At 43.2% G+C, this 18,004-nt stretch overlaps 1 protein-coding gene across 12 annotated transcripts in view; it reads right to left on the bottom strand.

The window, feature by feature from the left end:
- FARP2 (FERM, ARH/RhoGEF and pleckstrin domain protein 2) overlaps window positions 1–18,004 on the bottom strand; it is a 138,557-nt gene that overhangs the window by 60,742 nt on the left and 59,811 nt on the right. For all 12 annotated transcript variants that reach the window (XM_047446511.1, XM_011512233.1, NM_014808.4 and 9 more), the window contains 2 exons: window positions 15,991–16,138; window positions 2,326–2,421 (listed from right to left, as the gene is read on the bottom strand). In XM_047446511.1, coding sequence (XP_047302467.1) covers window positions 2,326–2,421; window positions 15,991–16,138 — 244 coding nt within the window. The remainder of the gene's footprint in view (window positions 1–2,325; window positions 2,422–15,990; window positions 16,139–18,004) is intronic.

The following is an 18,004-nucleotide window of genomic DNA, read 5'->3' as shown; positions in this document are numbered from 1 at the left end:
TACATTTAGGAAGCAGATCACACGATAGGGAATTCCAAAATTAAAAATCAGTAAGGTTTTTTTTTGAGACAGGATCTTGCTCTGTGCCCAGGCTGGAGTGCAATGGCGTGATCTTGGCTCACTGCAACTTCAACCTCCCAGGCTCAAACAATCCTCCCACCTCAGCCGCTCCCCTCCTACTGCTCAGTAGGGACTACAGGCTCACAACACCAAGCCCAGCTGATTTTTGTATTTTTTGTAGAAAAAGGGTTTTGCCATGTTGGCCAGGCTGGTCTTGAACTCCTGAGCCCAAGTGATCTGCCCATCTCAGCCTCCCAAGGTACTGGGATTACAGGTGTGCACCACTGCACCCAGCCCAGGAAGGGTTTTTCTAAAAGTTGTATACAAAGTCTTCTGGTTCCATCTGCTTAATTAAGAAAAGATAGACAGTATATATATTCATAGTAGAACTAGCAGAAAAATGAAGTCACCCACAATCACACAACTATCAACATTCTGAATTCTATCTTTGTAAACACTTTTTCTACCTAGCCTTGGCATTTTTCATGCCAACTGACATATTTACATGTTATTACTGAATTGTTTCTACATGGTATATATTTTTAAAATCTAGGATATTTTAGATGTCCAGGACATGCAGTTTTCAGGCCTACAAATATTGCCCTGAAGGAACTGCATTCACTCTCAGTTATTCCTTAGGATAAATTCCTAGAAATGGAAATCTGAGCTCAAAGACTGCACATTTTTGAACCTGCTGATGTATGTTACCCAATTACCTTCCACAAAGACTGTAATACTTTGAATCTAACATTTAGTCTTTAAAACGTGCTTAGGTAAGTAAAATGTAACTTTGCTAAGTGCAGATGCAAACAGTTCTGGGCTTTGACTTATCGCCCTATTCAAGTTAATAGCTGCTTTGGTGAACTTTCCCTATCATCTCGAATAACTGCAGGAAACTTTTTTTTTTTTTACTTACAGAGTAAAACAGCTTTTACTTGTGTTTCGTATGTGTGTTTGGCATTCCTTCTACTTCCCCTTCATCCACAGGACAGATATTTGTACAACAATTAAAGCCACTTTCAAGCCTTCTACCAAAAGCAAACACACTTACACAAAGCACGTGAACCCAGTGTGTACCAAAAGCCCTACTACTCAAGTGCCTTTTAAAGGCGTAGGCAAAGCTTTTCTTCTGACTGGCCCAAAGGCTCTAAATCTCCCATAACCCAAAATGTGTCTGGGCTGACACAGGCATGGCCATCTCTTAAGCTTCAAACCCCATGGTAGCTTGGCAAATCTACTTTTTATTTTCTAACTCCTTTTGTACAACGGAAATGCAGCAACTGGAACATCTTTGAATAACTGGAAGTACTGGATTTTACCAAATACACTGCACAGGCATTTATTTTTTCCATTTTTACTCATTTCAGTAAATTCATATGTAATTATTATTTTATTAATGAGCAGTCAGTAAAGAAGGGAATATTTACTCCCTGATAATCAAGGCTTCTTCAATTAGAGCTATTCAAAGATCAATTTCTGAATGAAGGACACAAGAGAACACTGGGGATACTCCTCAGTTCATTCTGAAGCTCTCAGCTGCTGTAGGGCTTCAGATCATTTTGAGCACTTTGTTCTTCAGCTTCCTTACCTAGAGAACAAAGAGGCTGCAATAACCATGGTTCTTAGCAACCCCTAGGAGCTTGTCAGATGTGCACCTTCTTGGGTTCATCCCAGACCCGCTGAAGCTGAAACCCTGGGGTTTTGAGCCAGCAACACGTGAGTGACAAAGTTCCTGGGGGAGGTAAGTGTGAGACCAGCTAGGCAGACTGCCCTCAGCCCCTCCAGACCTAAGTCCCGAATCCTGTCCTTGAGTTCTTGTGTGCATTATGCTGAAATGATTTACAAAGTAATTATGTTTTAGCAGAATAAATTATGAGTTAAAAAATGGTCAAAATAGGCTGGGCATGGTGGCTCACGCCTGTAATCCCAGCACTTTGTGAGCCTGTAATCCCAGCACTTTGGGAGGCCAAGGCGGGTGGATCACCTAAGGTCAGGAGTTCGAGACCAGCCTGAACAACATGGAGAAACCCTGTCTCTACAAAAATACAAAATTAGCCAGGTGTGGTGGCGCATGCCTGTAATCCCAGCTACTTGGGAGGCTGAGGCAGGAGAATCGCTTGAACCCGGGAGGCAGAGGGTTGCGGTGAGCCGAGATCATGCCATTGCACTCCAGCCTGGGCAACAAGAGCGAAACTCCGTCTCAAAAAAATAAATAAATAAATAAATAAAATAAAATAAAAATAAAAAGTTGAAAATAATACTTACATGAACCTCTGGATGAAGTTTGATAAGAAATCTTTTCCTCTTGAAGCTTAGTTTACGGACCTTGGACCAGTTGAAAGTGTTGATTTTGGTGGTGCCCTGAAATGCAAGAGACAGACAGATTACATTTGTATCTGGCACATAACCCCTTTCTCATGAAATAGGGAATGCTTAAATTACATCCTTGCCAACACAGCACTCTACTTGGCATTTTACCATTATATCTGAGATAGCTGACTTAAAATGTCAATAACTAAACATATTAATCTATCTGTTCTAGAAAGATAATTTAATTTTTTTTTGAGATGGAGTCTTGCTCTGTTGCCCAGGCTAGAGTGCAGTGGTACCAATCTCCGCTCACTGCAGCCTCAAACTCCTGGGCTCAAGCAATCATCCTGCCTCAGCCTCTGGAGCAGCTGGGACTACAGACACCAGACACCACTCTTGCCTAATTTTCTATTTTTAATTTTTTTTGTAGAGATGAGGTCTTGCTCTGTTGCCCAGGCTGGTCTCAAACTCGAGGCACATCTGGAACACAAGGACACTGAAAGGTTCAAAGAGATGGAAAAAGATGTACTTAACAACTGACCAAAAGAAAGCTGCTGGAGCAATATTATCATCAGACACAGTGCATGAGAAAGAGGGCTTACATCATCTAAAAGCAATTCACCAGGAAGATACACTGGGACTTGTATCTCTCCTCATATTGTTTCAAATATTTATAGGAAATGGAAAATTAGAAGTGGAAAGATTTGCACTTTTTTTCTTTTTTTTTTTTGAGACAGAGTCTCACTCTATCACCTAGGCTGGAGTGCAGTGGTACAATCTCCATTCGCTGTAACCTCCGCCTCCTGGGTTCAAGCAGTTCTCCTGCCTCAGCCTCCTGAGTAGCTGGGACTACAGGTGTGTGCCACCACACCTAATTTTTGTATTTTTAGTAGAGATGGGGTTTCACCATGTTGGCCAGGCTGCTCTTGAACTCCTGACCTCAGGTGATTAGTCCACCTTGCCTCCCAAAGTGCTGGGATTACAGGCATGACCCACTGTGCCTGGCTAATTTTAATTTCTTTGATAAGGTTTTATTGCAAAATTTTAAAATCAATGTTAATATACATTTTTTGAAGTTCACTCCTGCAAGGAGGGTGGTCTGGAAGGGGCAGTGATAGTGGCCAGGCAGGGCAGGGAGTAGAGTCAGGTTTCTCACTGAAGCTAGAACACAGTGCTAGAGTGTAACAGGAGCGAATGATGGGAATTCCTGGTTTCAGCAGATACAGACACAGATATAGAGGTAAATATAGATATATGAGGTGAGTGGGTATATGTACATGTGTGTAGCATTGTCTGTTGAGAGGGCCAGAAGTGGTGATACCCCACAAAGCAATGGGCACACTGAGTGCATGGATCTTGGTCTCTAAATACCAGTCTTCACTAAAACGGCTGGGCTCTGTGGGGAAATGGCTGACTCCACAGTGAAGCAGGCAAAGTACAAAACAAGCCTGGCATGTCTTATTCTGTAAGAAAGCAAAGAAGTGTTCATAAAATGAAAGGACATGTGAGAAGGACACAAGAGGCAGCTTGAAGAGTCTCCCTTGGGCCAAATGTGGGAAAGTTAAAGATAAAAATAAATAATGAAACCAACAGATTATCAAGTATCAGATTTGAATCTATGAATCCACAGTGACATAAACTAAATAAATGGAGAGAAAACTCTTCCTTCCAGTAGTAGGAAGAATGGGATTTAAAGAGTCATCATTGGGCAACCATCATAGTGATCTAACTAGAAGATGAGTGTGATGAGGTACAAGATATTTACTTAGTCTCAAAGTATCGCTCCACAAAATACTTAGTAACAAAGGACAAAAAGTAACCTTTCTTTCCTTAAGAGATAAGGAGTCTCAAACTCCTGGGCTTAAGCAATCATCCTGTCTCAGCCTCTGGAGCAGCTGGGAATACAGGCACCTGATACCAATCCTGGCTAATTTTCTATTTTTAATTTTTTCTTGTTTAACGAGTTAAAGGCAGATGGGCATCTCAGGTAAAGGCCAGCAGGACCTTTTGTAGAGATGGGGTCTTGCTATGTTGCCCAGGCTGGTCTCAAACACCTGGCCTCAAGTGATCCTCCTGCTTCAGCCTCTGTTGGGACTATAGGCATGAGCCACTACCTAGTCAAAAACAACTTTGTATACAGAAAAGCTGGCAAACATCATCTTGACCAAGTGATCAATGTTACCACCACCACCACCAATGGGACAGATGGACCCTATGTGCCACATGAATCAGGACGCATCATCACTCTGGGAGTTTCTCACCTAGGCAGTGAGCCCAGGGTCTGATCCTGGGGAAGCACTGCACAATCCCATATCATAAACATTCTACAAAATGACTGCCCTGTAATCTTCCAAAATGTCAAGGTCATGAAAACCAAGGAAAGGAGGAAGAATGTTCCAGATTGCAGAGACCAGAGAGACATAATGCCTGGGTACAGCATTTGCTCCTAGATTGGACCTTCTGTAGTAAACAACACTGAGACAACCAGTTAAAGGCAGACGGGCATCTCAGGTAAAGGCCAGCAGGACCTTTCTGTGCTGTTTGTGTAGCTTTTCTATAAGCTTGAAATGGTTTCAAAATAAAATTTTAAAAACGTCTGAGACACTGCTTGGGCATTTCAGCGACTATACGTTTGATGTTACCAACATTTACTCTTACCTGCAAACTCAGTGTAAGAGGCAGCAAGGTTAGGGACACAGTCCCCTCAGAGACAGCTCCAAAGGAAAAAACAAACCCCTTTAGCCATAAGGAGTAAAACACTGATACATGCTACCACATGAGTGAACCTGGAAACAAGGAAACACTACACACAACAGACCGCATGTTTGTATGATCCCACTTATATGAAATATCTAAAATAGGGAAATCCATAGAGAGGGAATATCCTGATGGGTGCCTGTTCTGGATACCAGTGGTTGCTGGGGGCTGGCGGAGTAACTGCTAAAGAGTATGAGGGTCTCTTTTTGGGATGATGAAAACGTTCTGAAATTAGATAGTAGTGACGGTCATACAACTGTGTAAGTATCCTAAAACAACTGAATTGTATACTTCAACATGGTGAATTTTATGGCATACACATTTTATCTCAATTAAAAAAAAAAAAATCCTGAGTTAGATGTTCTCAAAGCCAAGATACAAACATTAGGGTCTAAATGAGGACTTAAGCTTCCTAGTTCCCAAAATATTGCCCCAACACTAAGTCGTTCTAATTTCTACTGAAAGTAAAATATTGAAGGCCAGGTGCTGTGGCTGACGCCTGTGATCCCAGCACTTTGGGAGGCTGAGGTGAGCAGATCACCTGAGGTCAGGAATTAAAAAAAAAAAAAAATTAGCTGGACATGGTGGCCAGTGCCTGTAATCCTAGCTACTCAGCAGGCTGAGGCAGGAAAATCATTTGAACCCAGGAGGCGCAGGTTGCAGTGAGCAGAGACTGCGCCACTGTACTCCAGCCTGGACGACAAAGGGAGACTCCGTCTCAAAAAAAAAAAAAAAAAAGTAAAATATTGGAGGATTTTCAACTACATTCTCAAAATTTCTGTCCTAAATTGTATTCTCAAAAACAAAGCAAAACAAAACATCAACAAAAGGAAACAAAATCCCCATAGCCCCAGTTCTAGATATTATTTATATATCCAGGACAGAGTCTTAAAAAACCGAGGGCCTAGGCTGGGCGTGGTGGCTCATGCCTGTAATCCCAGCACTTTGGGAGGCCAAGGCGGGCGGATCACGAGGTCAGGAGATCGAGACCATCCTGGCTAACACAGTGAAACCCCGCCTCTACTAAAAATACAAAAAATTAGCCAGACGTGGTGGCAGGCGCCTCTAAGTCCCAGCTACTCGGGAGGCTGAGGCAGGAGAATCGCTTGAAGCTGGGAGGCGGAGGTTGCAGTGAGCTGAGATCGCGCCACTGTACTCCCACCTGGGCGACAGAGTGAGACTCCATCTCAAAAACAAAACAAAAAACCGAGGGCCTGCCACGGAGGTAAGAGATGAAGCCCTCCCAAGAAGTGGGCCAACAATAGCTCAGAGGCCCCCAAATAACTGCTCCAGCTGCTTGTTCAATCCCTTCTGGTCAAAATAAGAAATTTCTACAGCTGTCTCTTGGTATCTGTAGGGGATTGGTTCCAGGACCCTCTACCCCAGTACCCCAATCTATAAATCTTGAGGCTCTGATAGAAAATGGTGTAGTATTTGCATATAACCTACACACACCATCTCTACAAAAAAACCTACAATTTTTGTAGAGATGAGGTCTTGCTTTGCTGCTAAGGCTGGTCTCCCGAGCTCTGGTGATTCTCTTGCCTTGACCTTCCAAAGTGCTGGGATTACAGGCTTGAGCTACCACGCTGGGCTTCCTGTATACTTTAATAAAATCATTTCTAGATTACTTATGTACCTAATACAATGTAAACGTCACATAGTTTTACTGTACTGTGTTAAATTTGTATTTTTTAAAAAATTACACAGACACATATATGTGTGTGTGTGTGTTTTGAGACAGAGTTTCGCTCTTGTTGCCCAGGCTGGAGTGCAATGGTGCGATCTTGGCTCACTGTAACCTCGGCCTCCTGGATTCAAGCGATTCTCCTACCTCAGCCTCCTGAGTAGCTGGCATTACAGGCACCTGCCACCACACCTGGCTAATTTTTGTATTTTTAGTAGAGATGGGGTTTCACCATGTTGGCCAGGCTGGTCTCGAACTTGTGACCTCAGGTGATCTACCAGCCTTGGCCTCCCAAAGTTCTGGGATTACAGGTGTGAGCCACCGCGCCCAGCCTGTATTGTTTTTTATCGTTTATTTTCCTGCGGATATGGAGGGCCAACTGTATATCCCAGGGTCTTGACCACCATGATAAAAGGAGAAATAAATAGAAAATCCAAGGACAATCACAGCTTTCATCTACTGCACCCTGACTTGACAGACTTTAAGACAACACTTTTAAACCTGCACAGTTAGCTGTGGAATGCTAAAATCTACTGTTTTCATTTTCATATTCATCCAATAATCCAGGGCATATCTGAAAATGCCATATAGACTACACGACTGGAAACAAACTGCCAGGTCAGGGTCACCCACTCCACATCAAGTCCTCTTCCTCAGACAGAACCAGCTTCACCTCTCTTGGCTGCCTTTCTGGGATTTACTCTCATGCATCCATTCATTCACCCGTATTTCTGAAAAGCACATTTATGACAGCTAGCACATTCTCCACTTTGAAATCTTGCCTCCTCAACATCTGTCACTGCCAATACCTCACACCTACCCCTCCCCACACTCTCCTAATTGTTGGTAAATTTTAAATTCAGTATTTATATTAATGGTCATGTAAGCATTGCTCACAAGCTGAGCTATAGTGAATTTAACTACTTTTTTTATATTATAAAGTAAAGCTTCCTTCTTCAAAATTTCCTTGAGAATCCTAATTGCCTCGTTTCATTTGCTTCACCGGCATGTACCTATCCCTAGTTAACACTCTTCCACACCGTCCAGCAAAAGAAATGAGTCCCTGGTCTACCCTCTCTCCCGGGGCCCTGCCCTCTGCTCTGGTATTGGTGGATGCTCTCTTGGCAGGCAGAACCTGTGTCTTCCTCTGCCTGTCTCGGATGTGGAGCACCCTATTTCCTTCTTTCTCACTTTTAGTTCATTCTCTCCTCTAGTTTTTCCTTACAAAGGGAGAGTAGTAGTTAAATTTTTTAAAAATCTACATGTGTGAAAAAAGGTTTTCTCTGTACAGAAGTCATGTGGAACAGAGCACAGAATTCTAGTCTAGAGCCCCACACACACCAAATTTAAAAAAAAAATCGCCAAATGCTCGGGGAAACTGATTTGAGTAATAATAAAACTGTAGTCTCAAAAAAAAAAAAACAAAAGAATTAGTTTGGAAATAATTTCCTTTTAATGTTTGAGATGCTGCCATTGCAGTGACATTGCACTCCAGCCTGGGCAACAAGAATGAAACTCTGTCTCAAAAAAAAAAAAAAAAAAAAGAGAGAGAGAGAAATTGTACCAGCTCTTCTTTGTACCTCTGGTTGAATTCAGCTGTGAATCCATCTGGTCCTGGGCTACTTTTTTTTTTTTTTTTTTTTTTTTTTTTACTTGGTAGGATATTATTGCCTCAATTTCACAACACATTTCTAGTCTATTCAGGGATTCAATTTCCCCCTGGCTCGGAAAGCCCCGTTGCTTTCTAGCTTCCAGTACTGCTACGGAATAGTTCCAGGCCATTTTAAATCACACTTCTTTCTCTCTTCTTCCTGGGAGTTCTTGGGTCTTCTCCACTATTATCCTTTGTTGGATGGATAGACTGCAAAATTTTTCTCCCATTCTGTAGGGTTGTCTGTTCACTCTGATGATAGTTTCTTTTGCTGTGCATAAGCTTTTCAGTTTAATTAAATCTCATTTATCAATTTTTGCTTTTGTTGCAATTGCTTTTGGCATTTTCGTCATGAAATCCTTCCTGTGCCTGTGTCCTGAATGGCATTGCCTAGATTTTCTTCCAGGGTTTTTTTTGTTTTTGTTTTTGAGACAGGGTCGCACTTCATCGCCCAGACTGGAGTATAGTGGCTTGATTTTGGCTCACTGCAACCTCCGCCTCCCAGGCTCAAGCGGTTCTCCTTCCTCAGTCTCTCAAGTAGCTGGGGTTATAGGCACCCACTATCATGCCTGGCTAATTATTATATTAGTAGAGACAGGGTTTTACCATGTTGGCCCCAGGCTGGTCTTGAACTCCTGACATCAAGTGATCTGCCCCCATTGGCCTCCGAAAGTGCTGGGATTCAGACGTGAGCCACTGTGTCTAGCCCTCATCTAGGGTTTTTATAAGTTTCTTTCTGGTTCAGTCTTGGGAGAGCGTATGTGTCCAGGAATTTATCAGTTTCTTTTAGATTTTCCACTTTATGTGCATAGAGGTGTTTATAGCATTCTCTGATGATCGTTTATATTTCCGTGGGTTCAGTGGTGATATTCCCCTATCATTTCAGATTGTTCATTTGATTATTCTCTATTATCTTCTTTACTAGTCTAGCTAGCAGTCTATTTTATTAATTTTTTCAAAAAACCAGCTCCTGGATTTGATTTTTTGAAGGGGTTTTTGTGTCTCTATCTCTTCAGTTCAGCTCTGATCTTGGCTATTTCTTGTCTTCTGCTAGCTTTGAGGTTTGTTTGCTCTTGATTTTTTAGTTCTTTTAGTTGAGATGTTAGGTTGTTAACCTGAGATCTTTCTAGCTTTTTGATGTGGGCATTTAGTACTATAAATTTCCCTCTTAACAATGCTTTAGCTGCATCCCAGATTCTGATATGTTATCTCTTAGTTCTCATTAGTTTCAAATAATTCTTGATTTCTACCTTAATTTCATTATTTACCCAAGAGTCATTCAGGAGCAGGTTGTTCAATTTCCATATAGTTGTGTGGTTTTCAGTGAATGTTTAAATCTTGAGTTCTAATTTGATTGTGCTGTGGTGTAAGAGACTGTTTGTTATGATTTCAGTTCTTATGCATTTGCTGAGGAGTGTTTTGCTTCCGATTATGTGATCAGTTTTAGACAAAGTGCCATGTGGTGATGAGAAGAATTTATATTCTTTTGTTTTTGGGGGGACAGTTCTGTAGCTATCTATAAGGTCACTTTATCCAGGGCTGAGTTCAGGTCCTGAATATTTTCAGAAAGTTAACTTTCTGTCTTGATGATCTGTCTAATATTGTCAGTGGGGTGTTAAAGTCTCCTATTATTATTGTGTGGGAGTCTAAGTCGTTTTTTAGATCTTTAAGAACTTGCTTTATGAATCTGGGGGCTCCTGTATTGGGTGCATATATATTTAGGATAATTAGCTCTTCTTGTTGAACCCTTTACCATTATATAATGCCCATCTTTGTCTTTTTTAATCTTTGTTGCTTTAAAGTCTGTTCTGTCAGAAACTAGGATTGCAAGCCTTGTTTTTTTCTGTTTTCCATTTGCTTGGTAAATTTTATTCCATCCCTTCATTTTGAGTCTATGTGTGTCTTTGCACGTGAGACAGGTCTCTTGAAGACAGCATACCCATAGGTCTTGGCTCTTTATCCAGCTTGCCATTCTGTGTCTTTTAATTGGGGGCATTTAGCCCATTTACATTTAAGGTTAATATTGTTATATGTGAATTTCATCCTGTCATCATGGTCCTAGCTGGTTATTTTGCAGACTTGTTTTTGTGGTTGCTTTATAGTGTCACTGGTCTATGTATTTCAGTGTGTTTTTGCAGTGGCTGTTAACAGTTTTTCCTTTCTGTATTTAGTGCTTCCTTCAGGAGCTCTTGCAAAGCAGGCCTGGTGGTGATGAATTCCCTAAGCACTTGCTTGTCTGAAAAGAATCTTATTTCTGTTTTGCTTATGAAGTTTAGTTTGGCCAGATATGAAATTCTGGGTTGGAAATTTTTTCCTAAGAATGTTGAATATTGGCCCCCAATCTCTTCTGGCTTGTAGGGTTTCTGCTGAGAGGTCCCCTGTTAGTCTGAAGGGATTCCCTTTGTAGATGACCTGGCCTTTCTCTCTGGCTGCCTTTAATATTTTTTCTTTTATTTCAACCTTGGAGAATCTGATGATTATATGTCTTGGGGCAGATCTTCTTGTGGAGTATCTTACTGGGGTTCTCTGCATTTCCTGAATTTGAATATTAGCCTGTCTCGTTAGGTTGGGGAAATTCTCCTGGATGATATCCCAAAGTATGTTTTCCAACTTGATTCCATTCTCCCTGTCTCTTTTGGGTAACCCAATCAGTTATAGGTTTGGTCTCTTCACATAATCCCATATTTCTTGGAGGTTCTGTCATTCCTTTTCATTCTTTTCTCTCTATTCTTGTCTGCCTATTTCAGAAAGATAGTCTTCAATGCTCTGAGATTCTTTCCTCTGCTTGGCCTATTCTGCTATTGATACTTGTGATTGCAATGTGAGGTTCTCGTGTTGTGTTTTTCAGCTACATCAGGTAGGTTATGTTTCTCTCAAAACCGGCTATAAGCTCCTGTGTTGTTTTATCATGGTCCTTAGCTTCTTTGCATTGGGTTACAACATGCTCCTTTAGCTCAGCAAAGTTCATTATTACCCACCTTCCAAAGCCTGCTTCTGTCAATAATGCTATCTCAGCCTCAGCCCCAGCCCATTTCTATGCCCTTGCCAGAGAGGTATTGTGGTCATTTGGAGGAGAAGAGGCACTCTGACTTTTTGAGTGTTCAGCATTTTTGTGTTGATTTTCTCATCTCTGTGGGTTTATCAAACTTTGATCTTTGAGGTTGCTGACCTTTGAATGGGGCTTTTATGGGTTTTTTGGTTCATGTTGTTGTTGTTTTCTGTTTTTTTTTTTGATACAGGGTCTCACTTTGTCACCCAGGGTGGAGTGCAGTGGCACGATCTTGGCTCACTGCAACCTCTGCCTCACAGATTCAAGCAGTTCTCCCTCCTCAGCCTACCGCTGTGCGTGGTTAATTTTTTTTTTTTTTTTTTTTGTATTTTTAGTAGAGATGGGGTTTCACCACTTGGCCAGGCTGGTCTTGAACTTCTGACCTTAGGTGATCTGCTTGTTTCAGCCTCCCACAGTGCTGGGATTACAGGTGTTTGTTTTTTGAGACAGTCTCGCTCTGTTGCCCAGGGTGGAGTGCAGTGGTGTGATCTCAGCTCACTGCAACCTCTGCCTCCCCGTGTTCAAGTGATTCTCCTGTCTCAGCCTCCTAAATAGCTGGGACTACAGGTGCCCACCACTACACCCAGCTAATTTTCGTATTTTTAGTAGAGATGGTGTTTCAACATGTTGTCCAGGCTGGTCTTGAACTCCTGACCTCAAGTGATCTGCCCACCTCAGCCTCCCAAAGTGCTGGGATTACAGGTGTGAGCCACTACGCCTGGCCTGTTGTTTTTAGGGCTGCTGCAGTTTGCTGGGAGTTGCTCCAGACCCTAGTTGCCTAGGTTTTTCTGTACCTGGAGGTATCACCAGCAAAGCCTGTGAAACAGAAAAGATAGCAGGCAGCTTTCTCCTCTAAAAGCTTTATATCCCAGGAGGGTACTGACTTGTTGCTGGCCCAAATGCACCTGTAGGGGGTGGCTCACCCAGTCAGGAGGAACAGGGTCAGGGGCCCACTTAAAGCAGCAGCCTGGCTGCTTTTTGCAGAGTACGTATGCTGCATGTGGGGGAACTCTTCCTTATCCAGACTCCAAAGCCAGCAGGCTAAAATGGCTGAGTCAACCAAACTAGAGATGGTGGCCACCCCGCCCCCGCAGGAACTTGGATCCATCTCAGGCAGATTTCCAGCCTGCTGCTGTTGGCTGGCTAGAATTCCAAGCCAGTGGGTCTTAACTTGTGAGGTGCTGTGGAAGTGGGCCTCACAGAATGATACTGCTTGGCTCCTTGGATTCAGCCTCCTTCTTAGGGATTTGTACAAACAGATTTCCCACCTTGCTGGGGGTCCTGAGGCTGAAGTATGTGAAACTCCTAGGTCTCTGTGTGTGCCTCAGTGGCTGCTCTGCTGAGACTGAACACAACTCTGTGTATTGGACCCAAGGTCCTAGTGGCATGGGCTCATGAGGAGATCTCCTGATCTGTGGGTTGCAAACATCTGTGGGAGAGGTGTAGTTTCCTGGGTGAGGTTGCACAGTCACTCACCATTTCTCTTGGCTGGGGATGGGGGTTCCTTTGGCTCCATGCTGCTCTTGGGTGGGCCATCAACCCCCACCCTCGCTTTTCTTCATCCTCTGTGGGTTGAGTTGTTCGCCTAGTTAGTTTCAGTGCAAGAACCTGAATATTTCAGTTGAAGGTGAATCCACTCACCCCTTTTCTTTCCTCTTCGTGAGTGGTGTGAACCTCAGTTGCTTCTAATCAGCCATCTTGGATCCTCCTATATTATAATTTTAAATATCTGTGCTTAGAACTGAGGCTGTCATAACTCTGTGGATGATGGAGATGAAATTGTGGAGCCCAGGGTCTGCTGGGGTTGGGTTCCTATTGTTGCATGTGGGGCCAGGCAGTAAACCTGCTAAAAAGTAGCAGAGCATGTGCCAGCACAACTCTGCAGGACAAAGAGGCTGATGACCCCTGCCTGGCGTGCAGACCAGGTAGGAGACATGGGGTGGGGATGGACTGGGGCAGCCTGTATTTTAATTTGCAAATGTTTTTATGTTCTCCATTTGTTTCTATCATGGTATCCTGCTCATTTCAGAGATGCAGTGTTTTATTCCTGTGAAGGTTTTGTGAAAATGTAATACAGTGATACATTCACAAGGCTCAAATTCTGAAGGTTCAAAAATGAGTCCACAGTGCAAGTCTCCCTCTCAGCACTGTTCCAAAGCCTGCCAGCTTGGCCACTCTTCCCTGGGGCCATTAATGTCACCAGTTCATTTAATAGTGTGGAATATAGTGCACATATAATTTTCTCTCTTTTCCCCACAAGCAGTAGCTACTATACAGAGTTTTCAATCTTTTCTCCATGTAATGATGCATCTTGAAGGATGTCTCATTATTGGGACATAAAGAGCTGCTTCCTTGTTTGTACAGTTGCCCAATATTCTGTTCACATGGATGCACCACCATTTATTTAGCTGGCTTTTATTTATGTACTTATTTAGAGACAGGGTCTCACTCAAGGTGCCCAGGCTGCAGTGCAGTGGCACGATCTCGGCTCACTGTAGCCTCGACCTCCTGGGCTCAGGTGATTCTCCCACCTCAGCCTCCTGAGTAGCTGGGACTACAGGTACATGCCACTACACCCAATGAATTTTTGGTATTTTTAGTAGAGATGAGGTTTCTCCATGTTGCTCCAGCTGGTCTCAAACTCCTGGACTCAAGCAATCTGCCCACCTTAGCCTCCCAAAGTGCTGAGATTACAGGTGTGAACCACTGTGCCAGGCTATTTAACTGGCTTTCTAACGGTTAATTCCCAGAATTTTACTATCACAAACAAGGCTGATAAAAATAAAAAAATTACAAGATAAAATTTTACATTTCTGATAAAGAAGTATTCCTATTTCTCATAAGCATGAACTGTGAGCCCTTTCTGGGGCTCCTGGGAACATGTTGGCTTGCACTGTGACTTTGCCGCTGAAGGCTGTGAGATTCCAGCCTTCCCTACTCTGCAAAGTCAGGTCCCACTCCCTGTTTCATTTCCCAGCTTCCAAACATTGCTGCTATCCTCATCTTTCGTGGGCTGTTTTCCCATTCTTTGTTCTTACGGATTTAAATGTTTAAAAAATTCCTTCAACTGTCATTGTGTTCAGGGTTTTGAGGGAATAAAAATAAATACATATATTCAGTCTGCTATCTTCAAACTGAAGTTTCTAATCCCTTGCTTTTACAACTTCTTTAGGTTGTATTATTTGTTTTTTTCTGGAAATGTGGCAATGGCTCAGTTTGGATATGAGGTTTTCATCTCTGTGCAATGGGGGAACACTCATCAGCAGGTGTAGGCAGGGGATGCTCAGACCCTCCACCTGAAGGCATGGATTGCTAAGGCTGGTCTCTATCATGGATTTTTATTGCTCTCTAATCACATTTAGTATGAAATGTAACATAATACTCTAAATTCAAAATTAATTTTTTTTCTGACAGGAAATTGAAACTTGATGGCTAGGTTAAGAAAAATAAGGAAAAGAAAACAATAATAAACATGGCTTGATGAGGGAGGCCTGAATCAGACCAAGCTCTTTTTGATAGTCACAGGTTAAAAGAGCCCACAAAGAAACAGCAGCTCATGCAGGCAATGGGCTCCCAGACTGCAATAGTGACAATTCCCACAATATTCAGCATTGAGGAGACCTTTTCAGGATTACCGTAGTCTATCAGAGGTGCAAAATTTTACAAGGGCCAGTGACTGGAGTGCTCCCAAAAGGAGGGGCCCAGACAAGTTGGACATATTTAGCCTGGGTGCGAGGGGACTTGGGGAGCCCCCGCAAGAGCTTTCTTCAGATATGCAAAGGGCCTGAATAAGGAGAAAAGCTCCTTCTAGTCGGCACTAGCAGTCACACTTAAGCTTCTTGGACATCACAAACCCCAGCATACACACACATAACCACAAATGGAAGTGAGCAGGCCATGCCCACCATTTATGTAATTATTTACCTATGCATCACAACTAATACAAACACTTCAGAAGACAACACTGACTCTTATCACAAGCAATCCCTCTGATATTTTCTATTCTATTCTAGTTTGTTTACTGAAATGATTACTGTAACCCACTCTAAAGCGCTCACAGTCCAGCCCAGATCACATCCACAGCACAGAGACTGCTCCACTGGAAAAAAAACAGGGTTGTGGTTTAGGATCCTAAGGGGGTAGGCCGAATCCCAGGAGGGAATGCGAAGTCCCAGAGGCAGTGGGCAGCCCTGGGGGGCAGGAGGCAGTGGGGAATCCAAGGAGGCGGGAGGCAGTCCCAGGAAGCAGTGGGCTCCATGACATGGAGGACAGTCACACGTGTGTCAGAGAAGGACAAAAGATTAATTTTCCCACTGAGTAAGAGGTTGGATTGGATGATATGCAAAGCCCCTCTTCCAAATCGAGGCCCGTACTCATCAGGACAAATATTTACTAACATCTATAAGAACAAACCCCACCAGGTTGCAGAAAACCTCCCCTGCCCTGTTCTCACCCCTCCCTTCCCCACTGGCCTACCTGGAACACGAGTACACCCATGTGGGAAACTGCCAGTTGAATCTTGGTTCCTTCCCTGTCAGAAGCCATGTGAAATCTGATGCCGTACATTTCCAACTTTCGAGCAATTTCGAGCACCTGGAAATCCGACTCAGCAGGTGTCTGGCCCCTGTAATAAAAAATGGTAGAATCATACACTACAAACACTTGATTTCTGAAAGAGCCAAAATGCATTATAGAAGCGATCAGGAAAACCAACAATGAAGGCTTTGTGTGTTTAGAGGGCAGATGGTTCACTGTCTGTGTTTACCCACTACAAAAACAGCATACCACACGTGCAGGCCAAAGACATCCTCAGTTTTCTTCTATTCTGTAACTACTTTGTAACGGGTAGAACACTTTCTTTGCATACACTAGCTACTCAGCCTTACATCTGCTCCATAGTGACAAGGTTATACACAAATACTACTGGCAGAGACAAATTTTAATCAGAAGAAACACCACAGAGGGCCGGGCACAGTGGCTGACGCCTGTAATCCCAGCACCTTGGGAGGCAGAGGCGGGTGGATCACCTGAGGTCAAGAGTTTGAGACCAGCCTGGACAACATGGCGAAACCCTGTCTCTGCTAAAAATACAAAAATTAGCCAGGCGTGGTGGCGGAGGTTGCAGTGAGCTGAGATCATGCCACTGCACTTCAGCCTGGGTGACAGAGCGAGACTCCATCTCTAACAATAATAATACTAATAATAAAATGAAATGAAAAAGAAAGAAAATGAGTGTGACGGGATAGTAGTGTTATCTATGGTATTTCTTTTCTTTTCTTTTTTTTTTTTTGATGGAGTCTCACTCTGCTGCTCAGGCTGGAGTGAAATGGTGCAATCTTGGCTCACTGCAACCTCTGCCTCCCAGGTTCAAGCGGATTCTCCTGCCTCAGCCTCCTGAGTAGCTGGGACGACAGGTGCACGCTACCATGCCCAGCTTTTTGTATTTTTAGTAGAGACGGGGTTTGCCATGTTGGCCGGGCTGGTCTCAAACTCCTGACCTCAGGTGATCCGCCCACCTTGGCTTCTCAAAGTGCTGGGATTACAGGCGAGAGCCACTGCGCCCGGCCATCTCCTTTTCATCTTAAAAAATATTTTTTACTATCTGAAACACTTGTGTCTTATAAACCCGTTTTCTCACTCACTCACTCACTCACCCACTCACTCGCTCATTCGTTTAGAGACAGGGTCTCACTCTGTCGCCCAGGCTGGAGTGTAGTGGCATAATCTTGGCTCACTGCAAGCTCTGCCTCCCAGGCTCAAGCGATCCTTTCGCCTCAGTCTCCTGAGTAGCTGAGACCACAGGCACGCACCACCACACTTGGCTAATTGTTTGTAGAGACAGGGTTTTGTCATGTTGCCCAGGGTGTCTTGAACTCCTGGACTCAAACTTGTTGGCCTCTCAAAGTGTTGGGATTACAGGCATGAGCCACTGTGCCCGACTTTTCTCTCCAGTTTCAAAGATCCAAAAGCAATGTGATAAAGTCAAGAAAAACACTTCTTTAATATCCTATTCAGTGATTATAAAGGTGTTTTCAGTGGATCACTGAAGAACCATCAGAATCATAAGACAATGTAAGAAATGTATAATAATTAAAATAAAGGTACAATATTGTCTTTAAAAAAAAACCTGAAGGATTATCAAAAGAAATAAGATGTGCAACGAAGCTGTGGTGACTGTGACAGACACAGTCTCAAATTAACACAGTGAAGGCCTACAACGTAGAGCAGAGCTTCCTGCTTCCGGGCTTATTCGGCAAGAGTTCAACTGTATTCCCGTATGAAGCAGACCACATGGCTCACCCTTCTCGTACCGGCTTTCTAGGGTTTTTAGCGGATACATGTGCACATGTAAGGACACACACATGCAGAGACACAGGCACAAGAACATGTGCAAGTACACATAACCACAGTATACAATGTACACAGGAACACACATCAACACACATGAACATATGAGCCACACACAGAAACACACACAATGCATGCATAG

Source organism: Homo sapiens, chromosome 2 (assembly GCF_000001405.40).
Source record: "Homo sapiens chromosome 2, GRCh38.p14 Primary Assembly".
Classification (NCBI taxonomy): Eukaryota; Metazoa; Chordata; class Mammalia; order Primates; family Hominidae; genus Homo; species Homo sapiens.
This window is presented reverse-complemented; position numbering and strand designations above follow the sequence as displayed.